We start from the raw sequence: 16255 nt of genomic DNA on the forward strand, positions 1-16255 counted from the left end.
CTGCAGCATCAGTCTCTCACATGTTGGTAAATCTAGACTTGGGAAGCAAAATCAATGGTATGTTTTTGAGACATCAAGAAAGATGTGACAGCGCCTCAGATCCTATGCACTGAACTACTGTCCCACACTGCAATGAAAAAGGCTATAGATGTTTCTCAATAACTTGTGTACTAAATTGAGTAAAGCAGGTTATTTCACAAGGATCCAGGAAGCATAATTATTACTAAGCATTTTCATAGCAGTCAGTGTGGTTCTAACTGTTCACAAAACATAAAGAAGCCTTACATCCAGGCTATGGAATACAAAAGGTAAACTGAAACGTGCTCTATGGAGCTAAAATATTTTCAAGTTTCTCTTAAAGATATTAAAAGTGCCAACACAGAGGGTGAGACAGACCAAATAAAATTATTTAAATAGTCTGCAGAAACTAGGAAGAAAAATAAAAATGTAATAGAAATTGGAAATAAAAATAGTGAACACATGCAAACATAGCAGCAGCCATACTACTAATAGAAAACATTACAGAAAAATTGGGGAGGGGTATTAAATAATCCCAATTATCCCTTAATACTTTGAGGATTGGATTCTAAAACTTAGCTGCAAGATTAGAATCCATATAAATACCTCAAAGTGAAATCTCATGGGAATAAGGTTAGCAGAAACATGCAAACTCAAGCATATCAGATATAACTATACAGACTTTAGGATACCAGTAGAAAGAGGTCGTTGTCACACACACACACACATACACACACACACACACACACTGAGCAAGTCACACACTTATGATCCATTCTTGTCATTCATTCCAATGCACATTCATTAACATCTCCTATATGATAAGTATTTTTCTAGGTAGCTGAATATCTGTAATACTCTTCTAATGTTAAAACTTGAATGGTTATTAATTTTTTGAGCCATCTGGTTCCAAAGGCCACTGAACAAAGACATAGTTATAGAACTGTGGTTCTCTAATTTAAGATTTCATGGAAAAGTACAATTTCAAAAAATATTTTTAAAATTACTTTGAGATCAATATAGAAGTGCCAACTGTTCCTTTAGCAAATTAAAGATATTACAAAATAACTGCCATCTACTGTAACTAACATTTCCTTTTTTTTTTTACAAAGGGAAATTTTAACATAATAGAATAGGAAGATCAAACTCTTGAAATAAAAGGTAATTTTCCAAGAAACAAATATTGTAGTCTTCCTATATTTATTTATTTCTCAAACACTTATATAGTGCTTATGTTGTGCCACATACTGTTTTAAATGCTTTTCAAATATTAGCTCATTTAATGTTAAAGATGACACCATGATAAAGGCACTATTATTATGCTTACAGGTGAGGAAACTGAGACACAGAGAAATTAAGAAAGCTGTAAGTTCCCACAACTGTTATGGTGAGGTTGACCTTAGGCACTCTGACCCAAGTTGATGATCTTAACCACTCCCCTGCATAACTTCTACATACCATGCTATCTCAACATACATATTCACATTACTTTTAAAAAACAGTTTTCTTGAGATATAATTCACATACCATTTGAAGTGTACAATTCAGTCGTTTCTACAATATTCAAAGTTATGCAACCATCAACACAATCAAATCAATAACATTTAAAACAACAGGTCCATTAACAATCACTCCCTCTTGTCCCAAACCTCCCAGCTGTCGGAAGACACTAATCAACTTTCATAGATTTGTCTATTCTGGACACTTCATATAAATTGAGTCATACAAGAAGTAGTCTTTTGTGACTTGCTTCCTTTACTAAGCATAATATTTTCAAGGTTCATCCATGTTGTAGCATATATCAATACTTTATTTCTTTTTATTTCTCAATAATACCTCACCGTATGGATATATCACATTTTGATTGTCACCTCACTTGTTGATAGGCATTTGGGTTGTTTCTATTTTCTGCTATTATAAATAATGCTACTATGATCATTTGGGTAAAAGTTTTCTTGTAGATATATGGTATTTCTCTTGGATATATACTAGGGAGTACAAAAACTGCTGGGTCATATGCAGCTCTAGAATTAATGTTTTCAGAAACTGCCAAATAGCTTTCCAAAGAGACTGCGCTATTTTATATTACCACCAACAATGAATGAAAATTCCAATTTCTCTCTTTCTGGAAGGAACTTGTGAAGGATTTGTGGTCATTCTTATTTAAATTTTTGTTAGAATGCACGAGTAAAGCCATTTGGGCCTGGGACTTTCTTTGTGGGAAATTTTAAAATTAGTAATTCAATCTGTTTACTTGTTGTAGGTCTATTTGGAATTTCTACTTCTTATTGGGTCATTTTTGGTAGTTTCTATCTTTCCAGAAATTTGTACATTTCATGTAAGTTATCAAATTTGTTGGCATATGATGGATGAAGTTTGTAATCCTTTATTATTTTATTGATGCCAAAATTACTGATAGAAAAAAATTCTGCTACTAGCCAGAAGAAGTAAACAAAGAAGACGAAATTGACGTCCTGTTGCTAATTTCTTGCTCTAGCCCTTCTCAAAATGCCTTCTGTCATGATGAAACCAGAAAATATAAACTGTGTTCTAGATAACAGGCTTAAAGTCATAGCCATAAAGAAAATCAGAAACTCTTTTCTAATTAAAATATAACAGCTAAATTATCAATTAAAATGTGTATGATAAATATTTTCTCATAATCATTTTACAATGTGTTTATTTCTAAGAAGACTGTAAGTGCTCCTTAGAGGGTTAAACTCCTATTTGGAATTCTGCTGACTAAACCTCTAGGACTCTTATACATTGTATTTTCTTATTTATATTTCAGACTTATTTATAAATTGTAAATCAGATCCCAAGAAGCATCATATAGTGACCCCATTATGAAATCCAGAAGAAGTGTGTGAGGTATTTATAAGAAACTACAATGATATCTTCTATAGTATAATGATTATTACAGGTATAATAAAACCTCCCGAAGTAGTTTGAAAAAGAGGGCTTGCTCCCAACCACTATGAACCTGTAGTTAATTAGGCAGCCTCTACCTGGAAATATAAACAGTGTCTCATCTTTAGGCTGTAAACCAGAATGACAGCCTAGATCCCGCTCCACATCTCTTACTCTAAACTCAACAATGAGAAGCATCACATACTATGTGAGCATGCAAATGTCAAAAGACTCCAGGGGTCTCCTAGTTCAGCCCTCTCAGTTCACAAAAAAAAAATAAAACTGAAGCCCAGAGAGGCCAGTAACCTTATCAATATCATACAGCTATTAGTCTCCAATCCACTGTGATCAACATCTCACTATAGCATTACCCACTTTCTTAATATTTTCAGAGTTTGAGGGTGCAAATGCCTCCTTATTACGTTATTGATTTTAAAATATTTCAATATAACAGAAAAATATAAAAAACAACACATGACTATGCCCTTAGCCTTATTAGACTTTAATAGTTTATTGTATTTCCTCTTTTCATTAAGGAATGAAACAATTCATCCCCACACAAATACAGCCAATTTATTTTTAACATCAGTGGAAAAGCAGTTCTGTAGAGAAAGGATAGTCTTTTCAGCAAGTGGTGCTGGAGCAATGCATACAGACATTCACAGACAAATTAAATAGATAAAATAAATCTCAACTTGCACCTCACTATTTATACAAAAATTACTCGAAATGGGTGGTAGAATTAAATATAAAACTATAAAACTTCTAGAAGACAGGAGAAAAATGTTAGGACTTAGTGCTTGGTGATGAGTTCTTATACAGAATGACAACAAAAGCATAATTTACTTTTAAAAATCAATGAATTGGACTTCATCAAAATTAAAAACTTTTGTTTTGTGAATGGCCCCTGCTAAGGGATTGAAAAGACAAGCTATAGACTGAAAGAAAATATTTGTAAAACAAATATTATAGAGGACTTATATCTACAACAAAAAAAATTTAAACCCTCAAAACTCAATACTAATAAAACAAACAATCCAATTTGAAAATGGCAAAAAGACATAGACATTTTACTGAAGAAGACATATGGATGGCAAATAAGCACATGAAAAGATGTTCAACATATCTACCTATGATAGGCAGAACAATGGCTCCCTAAAAATGTCTACACCCAATCCTCAGAACCAGTTATTCTGGCATGGCAAAGGGGGCTGTGGTTGCAGATGGAATTAAGATTGCCAATTAGCTGACCTTAAAATACAGCCATTATTTCAGATTATTTGGTTGGGGCTACTTTAATCACAGGGGTTCTGAAAAGTGGAAGACCCAGGCAGAAGAGGTAAGAATGATATGATATGAGGACTGAACCCACAAATGCTGGATTTGAAGACAGAGGAAGGGGAGCCATGAGCCGAGGAATATGAGTAGAGCCTAGGAGTTAGACAAGATGAGGAAACAAATTCTCCCTTACAACCTGCAGAAAGGAATACCAACACTTTGATTTCAGTCTGGTGAAAACTGTGTTAGACTTCTGACCTACAGAACTGTAAAATCGTAAGTTTATGTTGTTTTAAGCCACTAAGTTTACAGTTATTTGTTACAGCATCAATAGAAAACTAGTACATTATCCATCAGAGAAATGCAAATTAAGACTATGATAAGACATCACTACACACCTCTTTGAACTGCTAAAATAAAATACAGTGACAATACCAAATGCTTACAAAGATGGAGAGAACTGGATCTCTCACATGTCATTAAGGGAACAACAACATATGGCTGTACCATAAAATGGTACAGCAACTCTGGAAAATAGTTTGAAAACTCTGGAAAATAGCTTTAATTTTCTTTAAAAACTAAATATGCATTTACCATATGACCCCATAATTCACTCTGAAGCATTTATCCCAGAGAAAAAGAATTATGATCGCAGCAAAACTTATATGCAGTTGTTTGTAGTAGCCAAAAATTGAAAAGACTAAAATGTCCCACAATAGGTGAATAGTTTAAAAACTGTTACATCCATATCATGGAATACTACTCAGCAATAAAAAGGAATGGATTACAGATTCATACAACAGCTTGGAGGATCTCAAGGATCAAAGACATTATGCTGTGTAGAAAAAGAGCCAATTTCAAAAAGTCACACTATATGGTTTAATTTATATAACAGTCTCAAAAAGACAATATTTTATAGAGATGAAGAACATATTAGGTGGTTACCAGGGATTAGATATGGTGGCAAAGGAGTGTGGCTGTGACTATAAAAGCATAGCACAAGGGAGATCATTGTAGTGATTGGGGCTGTTCTGAATCTTGATTGAAGTGGTGATTACACAAATCTACACATGTAACAAAATGACATAGAGCTACACAAACACATGAGATCAATGTCAAATTCATGACTATAATAACTATAGTAATGCAAGGCATAATCATTGGGGGAAACTGGGTGAATGGTACACAGGACATATCTGTACAATTTTTGCAACTTCCTATGAATCTTTAATTATTATCAAATAAAATGTTGGGGAAAAAAACAAACAATTCCGTTAGATTTGAAAGCCCAGTGTATCCTTCCCTCTCTGAGCCCATTTACCTCCTTCCCTACCTCCCTTCACAGAAAAATCCTACAATTGGTGTTTAGGATTTCCACCCTCTTTTAATTATTTTACTGCCTATGGATGTATTCTTTAAAAACATAAAATATTGTTTTGAATGTCCTAAAACTTCCTAGAAATGGCATCAAATAATATTAATCCCTCTGCAAGTTGTTTTTGTTTTTGCTTAAATTTATGTTGCTATTATGTTGTTTATTAAATTTATTAACATTACCCATGTTAATGTATCTCATGGAATTTATACATTTCATCTACTATGCTGTAAGTCCATTGCACAAATATCCCAGTTTTTATTTGTACTTTCTTCTGTTGATAGAAATACAGAATTTTATTTTTGAGTATCATGCTATTTCAAAATAATGCTAGAATAAACATCCTTGTGCATGTCCCCTGGCAAACACATCCAATCATGTTTCTAGATATATGCCTAGAAGTGGAATTCCTCCTTCAAGATATGCAAATGTTTAACTTTACTAAGTAAAGTCAAACTGACTTTTCCAATTGGTTTTACCAATTTATTCTTATTTGGCACTTTCACACTTTAATTCTTAAAACTGGTTGGTATGAAATAAAATTTTCCTTTTTTTAATTTGCATTTACTTGATTACTAGTGAGCTAAAGCAAATATTTGTGTGTTTATCAGCCATTTTTTTCTGTCGATTGTTTGTTCATATCTTTCACCTATTTTTCCATTGGATTGAATTTTTAAATATTTATTTGAAAGATTCCTTCATACAAAATGCATATTAATTTTTGTTGGTTGTATATACTATAAATATCTCCTATTCTGAAGTTTTTTAAAAATGTTGTTGGTGTTATTTGCTATTCAAAAATGTTTGTTTTAATATATTCAACCTATTATTATTTTTCTTTATAGTTTGTCTTTTAACCCACTTATGCCTGAGGTTGCAATTTTTTTGAATTTTTGCAATCAGGCCTTGGCGATGATCTTGAGCAGTAGGATAATAAATAACTCTCACATGCTTAGCATTCCAATAATGGAACACTAGGCGTAAATGGGTTTTAGTCTTAAGAAATCCTTCCCTGCCCACTGGCCACAAAGATATTTCATACATTTTCTTCTAAAAAACATAAAATCTTTACTATTCTTTTCACCTTTACACCTACATTCCACATGGGATTTAATTATTATATGTTGTAAGAAAGGGTACTTATTATTTTATTTCCCCATGTGAATAATTATATCTCCTAGCATCATTTATTGTATCCTTACCACACTGATTTGTAATACATCCTTAGGGACACATGAGTCTATTTCTAAACCTAGTATATTTATTTATTGCTGCTCCAATATCCCAATGTCTTAATCACTATACTTTTACAGTAGCTGTTGACATGTGGTAGGGCTAATCTTCCCGACTTCTTCAAAATTGTGTTGGTTATGACTGACGCTTAGCTCTTTGTATACATTTTGGAATCAGATTGATCAGATTGTCAAGTTCCTGAAAACAACCAACAAAACCACTCTTGTGTGAGCTCTTATTAGAATTTATAAATGAATACAGAAAGAATTGAAATCTTTCTGATACTGAGTCATTCTGCTTTAAGTATAGTATATCTTTCTATTTATCATCTTCTTTGTGTCTTACCTTAAAATTTTGTAATTTTATTTGTAAAGATTTCTAAAAATCCTTTGTTAGATTTATTACTACATGTTTCTAATTTTTGCTGTATTCATGGTATCTGCTTTTAAACTGAATTTTCTAATTGTCTTTTGCTGGGTTACACAAAGGTAGTTTACAGAATTTTCTAATTGTCTTTTGCTGGGTTACACAAAGGTGGTTTACTTTATATCTAGCAATTTTCCTGAACTTTTGTATTATTTTCTAATAGTTTTTCAATGAAGTCTCTTTACTAATAACAATTAGGTTTCTCTCTTTTCTATCTACCTTTTATTTATTTCTTTTACCTACAATGCTGGCTAGAACAACCAATTAAACATAAGCAGAACCCGAAGTCATTCTTCTCTTGTTCCAGATGTACAGGGATTATTTCCAATATACTAGTAGCTGTAATGTTTCCAGTGGTTTCCTTACTCAAACATGCCATGTTAACCTATTTATTAGTCTTTTCAGGGCTTTCAGTTTTGTTTTATATATTATTAATACACACATTTTTCTTTTATTATACTTTATATTTGCTTTGCCTACTCTCTAAGTTCTTGAATTGGATGCTGATCTTATTATTAATAATATTTACTCCTTTGGGAGCAAGATGGTGGAATAGAAGGCCCCACTGATTGTCCCCCCACCCCACAGGAACACCAAATGTAACAACTATCTAGGCAAAAATCACACCTTCAGAAGAACCAAAAATCAGGTACCAGCTCAGCTATGGTGGGTTAGGGCAACAAGCAGACTCTTGGGGTCCCCAGTTCCAAGGCTTGACTCTTGAATGGCATTTCTGGACCTGCCCTGAGCCAGAAGGGATGAGTCTCAGACTTGGCTGCATTCACCACAAGCTGACTGAAGAGTCCTTGGGCCTTAAGTGAACAGTACCTTAAGTACGGCCAGGTATCTAGGGCCTTGCCAGATAGTGGTTACAGCAGGCCTTGGACAAGACCCAGTGCTATGCTGGCTTCAAGTCTGACCCAACGCAGTCTCAGTGCAACAGGCACGCTTCTGTCACCCCACCCCTAGCCCTAGGTGGTTAGCTCAACATAGAGAGAGATTCTGTGTTTGGGAGAAAGTAACGGAAGAGAACAATAATCTCTCCCTGGTAATCCAGATGATTCTTCTGGATCTTATGCAAGAATACCAAGGCAGTACCTCTATGATTCTGCAAGAACCACAGCATTACTAGGTTTGTGGTACCCCCGATGCAGATATGGCTTAGATCATAATACCCAAGTACTTTTGAATACCTGGAAAGTCTTCCCAAGAAGAATGGGTATGAAGAATCCCAGACTGTGAAGATGACAATACCTAACTCTTCAATGTCCAGACACTGACAAACATCAACGAGCATTAAGACCATCCAGCAAAACATGACCTCACCAAACAATCTAATTAAGGCATGAGAAACCAAACCTGGGAAACAGATATATGTGACCTTTCAGACAGAGAATTCAAAATAACTGTTTTGAGTCAACCCAAAGAAATTCAAGATAATACAAAGAAGGAATTTAGAATAATATCAGATAAATTTCACAAAAAGATTGAAATAATTAACAAGAATCAAATAGAAATTCTGGAGTTGAAAAATGCAATTGATATACTGAAGAATACATCAGAGTCTCTCTCTCTCTCTCTCTTTTTTTTTTTTTTTTTTTTCAGATGCAGTCTTACTCTGTCACCCAGGCTGGAGGGTAGTGGTGTGATCTCAGCTCACTGCCACCTCTGCCTCCAGGGTTCAAGCAATTCTCCTGCCTCAGCCTCCCAAGTAGCTGGGATTACAGGCACACGCCACCACACTTGGCTAATTTTTGTATTTTTAGTAGAGACGTGGTTTCACCATGTTGGCCAGGCTGGTCTCAAACTCCTGAACTCAGGTGATCTGTCCGCCTTGGCCTCCCAAAGTGCTGTGCCCAGCTGGAGTCTCTTAATAGCAGAATTGATCCAGCAGAAGAAAAAATTAGTGAGCTAGAAGACAGGCTATTTGCAAATACACAGGCAGAGAAGACAAAATAAAAAAGAATAAAGCATGCCTACAAGATCTAGAAAATAGCCTCAAAAGGGCAGATCTTAGAGTTATTGGCCATGAAGAGGAGGTAGAAAGTTTATTCAAAGGGATCATAACAAAGAACTTCCCAAACCTAGAAAAGAGTATCAATATCCAAGTATAAGAAAATTATAGAACACCAAGCAGATTTAACCCGAAGAAGACTAATGCAGGTGTTTAATAATCAAACTCCCAAAAGCTATGGAGAAAGAAATAATCCTAAAAGCAGCAAGAGAAAAGAAACACATAACACAATGGAGCTCCAATATGTCTGTCAGCAGACTTTTCAGTGAAACCTTAAAGACCAGGAGAGAGTGACATGACACATTTACAGGGCATAAAGAAAAAACTTTTACCCTAGAATAGTATATCTGGTGCTAATATCCTTCAAACATACATTGCCTATAATAAACACACTTCACCTATAAACACACACAGACTGAAACTAAAAGGGTGGAAAAAGATATTCCATGCCAATGGAAACAAAAAGAGCAGGAGTAGCTATACTTAGACAAAATAGACTTCAACACAAAAACTGTAAGAAAAGAAAAAGAAGGTCATTATATAATGATAAAAGGTTCAATTCAGGAAGAGGGTATAACAATTATAAATAGGTGTAACCAATATTGGAGCACCCAGATATAAAAAGCAAATATTATTAGAGATAAAGAAACAGACCTCAGGAAAATAACAGCTGGAGAGTTCAACAGCCCACTTTCGTCATAGGACAGATCTCCCATATAGAAAATCAACAAAGAAACATCAGACTTAATATGCACTATAGACCAAATGATCCCGATAGATATTTACAGGACATTTCATCCAATGGCTGCAGAATACACAGAATACACATTCTTTTCCTCAGCACATGGATCATTCTCAAGGACAGACCACATGTTAGGTCACAAAACAAGTTTTAAAACATTCAAAAAATTTGAAATAATATCAACTATCTCCTCCAACCACAATGGAAGAAAACTAGAAATTAAAACAAGAGGAATTTTGGAAACTAAACAGACACATAGAAATTAAACAATATGCTCCTGAATGACCAACGGGTCATGAAGAAATTAAGAGGGAAATTATAAAATTTCTTGAAACAAATGATAATGGAAACACAACATACCAAAACCTATGGGATACAGCAAAAGCAGTACTAAAAGGGAAACTTATAGTTTTAAGTGCCCACATCAAAAAAGAATTAAAACTTCAAATAAAAAAACCCAATAGTGTGTCTTAAAGAACTAGGAAAGGAAAGCAAGAGCAAACCAAACCCAAAACTAGTAGAAGAAAAAATAATAAAGTTCAGAGCAGAAATAAATGAAATTGAAACAAGGAAAATACAAAAGATCCATTAAAAAGTTTGCTTCTTGAAAAGACAAAATAGATTAACCTTTAGCCAGATTAAGAAAAAAGAGAGAAGACACAAATAAATAAAATAGAGATGAAAAGGGAGACATTACAACTGAGACTGTAGAAATTCAAAGGATCGTTAGTGGCTACTATGAGCAACTAAATCCCAGTAAATTAAAAAATCTGGAATAAATGAACAAATTCCTAGACACATACAACCTACAATGGCTGAACCAGGAACAAATCCAAACCCTGAACAGACCAATAATAAGCAACAAGATCAAAACTATAATAAAGAAATCTCGCAGTAAAGAAAGGCTGTGTACCTGATGGCTTCACTGCTGAATTCTACCAGGCATTTAAAGAAGAACTAATAACAATGTTACTATTTTGAAAAATAGAGGAGGAAATACTTCCAAACTCATTCTACGATGCCAGTATTACCCTGATACCAAAACCAGACAAAGACACATCAAGAAAAGAAAACTGCAGGCCAATATCACTGATGAATATTGATACAAAAATCCTCAACAAAATACTAACAAACCAAATTCAACAACACATTAAAAATATAATTCCTCATGACCAAGTGGGGTTTATCCCAGGGAAGCAAGGATAGTTCAACATGTGCAACTCAATCAATGTGATAGATCATATCAACAGAATGAAGAACAAAAACCATTTCAATTGATGCTGAAAAAGCATTTGATAAAATTTCACATCCCTTTATGGTAAAAATCCTCAAAAACCTATGTATAGAAGGAACATACCTCAACACAATAAAGCCATATACAAAAGACATATACCTAGTATCACACTAAAGGAAGAAACACTGAAAGCCTTTTCTCTAAGATCAGGAACATGATAAGGAAGCCCATTTTTACCACTGTTACTCAGCATGGTACTGAAAGTCCTAGCTAGATCAGTAAGACAAGAGAAAAAAACACAGGGTATCCGAATTAGAAAGGAAGGAGTCAAATTACCCTTGTTTGCAGATGATATGATCTCATATTTGGAAAAACCTAAAGACTCTCTCAAAAAAATATTAGAACTGGTAAGCAAATTCAGTAAATTTACAGGATACAAAATCAATATAGAAAAATTAGTAGCATTTCTAAATGCCAAGAGTGAACAATCTGAAAAAGAAATCAAGAAAGTAGTACCATTTATGATAGCTACAAATTAAATAAAATACCTAGAAATTAACCAAAAAAGTGAAAGATTTCTACAATGAAAACTATAAAACACTGGTGCAAGAAATTGAAGAGGACACAAAAAGATGGAACGATATCCCATGTTCATGGACTGGAAGAATGAATATTGTTAAAATGTCCATACTATCCAAAGCAATCTACAGATTCAATGCACTCCCTATCAAAATACTGATGACATTCTTTACAGAAATAGAAAAAAAATCCTAAAATTTATATGGAATCACAAAATGCCCAGAATAGCCAAATCTATCCTAATCAAAAGGAACAAAACTGGAGGAATCACATTACCTGACTTCCAAATTATACTATAGAGCTATAGTAACAAAAACAGCATGGTATTGGCATAAAGGCAGACACATAGACCAGTGGAATAGAATACAGAACCTAGAAATAAATCCGTACATCTACAGGGAACTCATTTTCAACAACAATGCCAAGAACATACATTAGGGAAAGGATGATTTCTTCTATAAATGGTGCTGGAAAAACTGGATATCCATATGCAAAAGAGTGAAACCCAATCCCTATCTCTCACCATATACAAAACCAAAATGGATGAAAGACTTAAATCTAAGACCTCAAACTATGAAACTACTGAAAGAAAACATTGGGGAAACTCTCCAGGACACTGGACTGGGCAAAAATTTCTTGAGTAATGCTCCACAAGCACAGGCAACCAAAACAGAAGTGGACAAATGAGATCACATCAAGTTAAAAAGCTTCTGCACAGTAAAGGAAACAGTCAACAAAGCAAAGAGAAAACCCACAGAATGGGAGAAAATATTTGCAAACTATCCATCTGATAAGGGATTAATAACCAGAACATATAAGGAGCACAAACAACACTATTAAATCTAATAATCTAATTTAAAAATGGGTGAAAGAGTTGAGTAAAAAATTCTCAAAAGAAGACATACAAATGGAAAACAGATATATGAAAAGGTGCTCAACATCATTGAGAAATGCATATCAAAACTACAATGAGATATCATCTCACTCTCATTAAAATGGCTTTTATCCAAAAGACAGGCAACAACAAATGCTGGCGAGGATGTGAAGAAAATGGAACCCTTGTATGCTGTTGGTGGGAATGTAAATTAGTACAACCACTGTGGAGAACAGTTTGGAGGTTCCTCAAAAAATTAAAAATAGCACTACCATATGACCCAGCAATCCCACTCCTAGGTATATACCCAAAAGAAAGGAAATCAGTATATCAAAGAGATATCTACACTCCCGTGTTTATTGTAGCACTAGTCACAATAGCCAGGAATTGGTAGCAATCCATTAGCAGATTAATGGATAAAGAAAACGGGTTACATATACAAAATGGAGTATTATTAAACCATTAAAAAGAATGAGATTCTGTTATTTACAACAGTGTGGATGGAACTAGAGGTCATTGTGTTAAGTTAAATAAGCCAGACACAGAAAGACAAACTTTGCATGTTTTCACTTATTTGTGGGAGCTAAAAATTAAAACAATTGAACTCATGGAGATAGATGGTAAAGGGATGGTTACCATAGGCTTGTAAGGGTAGTGGAGGAGGGAGGGAAGTGGGGATGGTTAATGAGTACAAAAAAAATAGAAAGAATGAATAAGACCTAAGGTTTGCTAGCCCAACAGGGTGACTATAGTCAAAAATAATTCAATTGTACAGTTTTAAATAACTAAAAGAGTATAATTGGATTGTTTGTAACACAAAAAATAAATGCTTGAGGTGACAGACACCCCATTTACACCCCATGTGATTATGATACATTGCATGCCTGTACCCCATGCCTGTACAAAATATCTCATGTACCCCATAAATATATACATCTACTATGTAGCCAAAAAAATTAAAAGTTAATTTTTTTTAATTTGTACCTTTTTTCATTTTCTTATATAGGCATTTAAAGCTATAACTTTCTAACTATAACTTTCATTGCTTCTCATACAATATTTAATGGATGAATTTAATTAATATTAACATTCAGTTTTAAATATTTTCTAATTTTCATTATTTTTTTGCTTGACTCATGAGTTGTTTAGACGTGTGTTGATTTAATTTCAAATCCATGTGGGATTCTTTTTGTTGTCTTTTAATTTAAATTATTAATTTAATTGCATTATAGTCAGATACTGCCTCTTCCCAAATCTTCCTGTGCTCTCCTTCTAGAAGGCCTATGAAACATATATTGAATCTTATGCTCTCCAACATGTCTCTTAACTTCTTTTTCATATCTTCTATCATTTTCTTTTCAGTGCCTTCTGGTTGATTTCTTCAAATTATATTACAGTCTACTAATTTTCTCTCCAGCTATATCTAATTTGTTTAACCTATGATAAATTATTAATTTCAATTACTTTAGTTTTCACCTTTATAAAGTGTGTTCTTTTTTTAACCTTATTTTTTCTTATATTTATAATTCATTTATGTCTCTATCATTTTCAATATTCATTTTTCATAGTCTATGTGATAGTTCCATCACTTTTAGGTCTTATTCTAATCCTGCTCTTTGTGTTTGCTAACTCTCACTTGTGGGGGATTTTGTTCTTATGTTTTATAGTTTGAGGTTGTGAGTTAATCTTTAGAAGATATTTATGTTTAGGAATCTTGTGAAACTTGGTTGAATGGTATCTTTCTCCTAAGAAGTTTGTAACAGATTCTGCCAGGTGCTTTAGAAGTATCAGTAATCTGGGCTCTCTGTAGTTAATTTTTCAAGTTGTGATTTTTCCATACTACACAAGTAGTACAAATTCAATTCCCAAACCTAAATGAGGTACAAATCCATAGAGATGTGTTTTTGAAGGAGACATTCTTTTTCTAAGACACAGCTTCCTTGTCTCTTCTGTTCTGATGATTTTTTTTCAGTCCTTTCCATTCCAAGGTCACAACTTTGTACTGAAGATCTCTGTTCCAACCCACAGAACCTCAATTTTCCATTTCATATCTCAAGCCCTTTGTTAGTGAGACTAATAATACTGTCCCAAAGGCAGCCACAGTATCAATTCAAGTGTTTATCCCTGGAGTTTTCAATTCAACCTTTACTTCTGACCCATAGTAATGATTTTATTTCCTTTCAAGATTAGACATGCAGTATTTCTAAGCATCCGTAGCAGGGATGATAGTAAGATTATTAGCCATGTTTCTAGAACTGTTAGTAAAAAGTAACTTATTTTCTCTAGTAAAAATCAACTTACAGCACAATTGGCAAGCTGAATCCTTGTAATTTACCAATTATGAAACTTTTTCAGTTCACAATTATATTATCCAAAGCTTGTTTGATCCCACTTGGTCCCAGTTTCAGAAAACCACATGGAAAAAAATATATAATAATTATAGGTGCATACATAGCCCCTAGCTACAACTAGAAACATTACACTGAACTTTACATGGATCCAAATAAATCCTTTAATTTTCTGGATTCCCTCTGAAGCCCATCCCATCACCTTTTTCTAGAGTCCTCTAGTGCTTCCTCTCTCTCCTCTCCCTCTCTCTCACACACACACACAAGACAGAGACAGAGAAAGGGAGAGAGATCATTTTTCATATAAGTGTTCACTGCTTACTGTCAACAAGTTATATGGCTTTTCTTCTTCCTTTCCATTAATTCAATACAACTTGTCTAAGTTCCTGCTGTGCTCTAGACATTGGAGATGTTGCCAAAAACAAAACAAAACCTTTGACCCACAGGGTTTCAATCATAGTATAGAAGAAATACAAATAATAAACAAATTAATAAATATATTTTAGTTTGAACCAAATGAAATGGCCAATATTCAGCTGTTCTTGATCCACCCAAAAGCAATTTCATATGGTTCAACTTGATAGAATATGACAGGTGGTGCTACGTGCTGTGAAGAAGATAGGGTAAGTGGAGAGAAAGTCATGGGTGCATGTGAGTGTGCTATTTTAGATAGCATGGCCACAGAACCTCTCTTTTTAAGTGCTATTTGAACAGATGATAATGGAGTGAGAAAGTGTGTAATACGGATATCTGGGGGAAGAATATTCTAATCAGAAATGAAGGTGGAAAGGCCCTGAGGAGGGATGGCATATAAAAGAGCAGCAAGGAAACAGAGGGACCTGAAGGGAGCGAGTGACAGTAAGAGTGGTGCAAGATAAGGACAGAGAAGGTCAGGGCCAGGCCCAAGAATGCCATGTCAGCCATGGCAAGACATTTGATCTCACTCCTCATGAGTTGGGAAGCTGTTGGCAGGTTTGGGCAGAGGAGAGGCAAAATCAGACTTGTATTTTCAAGGATGTGGAGGCCAGCCTCCAAGGAGCAAGATGAACAGAAGGGGCTTAGGTAGGAGATGACTGCTTTCATGCAAGAGTGAGACCATGGTAACAGACTCAGGTGGTAGCAAAGGAAATAGGACAGACTGGACCTTCACAATTCTTTCATGACCTCTCTTATCTTTCTTTTTAAAAAGTATATTTGTCTTATCAATTTCTTATTCCCAAACAA

The 16255-nt window shown here is 34.3% G+C and overlaps 1 protein-coding gene across 15 annotated transcripts in view; it reads right to left on the bottom strand.

Annotated features, from left to right (window-relative positions):
• PDE4D (phosphodiesterase 4D) overlaps nt 1–16255 on the bottom strand; it is a 1553091-nt gene that overhangs the window by 1263412 nt on the left and 273424 nt on the right. The window lies entirely within an intron of this gene.

This window comes from Homo sapiens, chromosome 5, assembly GCF_000001405.40.
Source record: "Homo sapiens chromosome 5, GRCh38.p14 Primary Assembly".
NCBI classification, from domain to species: domain Eukaryota; kingdom Metazoa; phylum Chordata; class Mammalia; order Primates; family Hominidae; genus Homo; species Homo sapiens.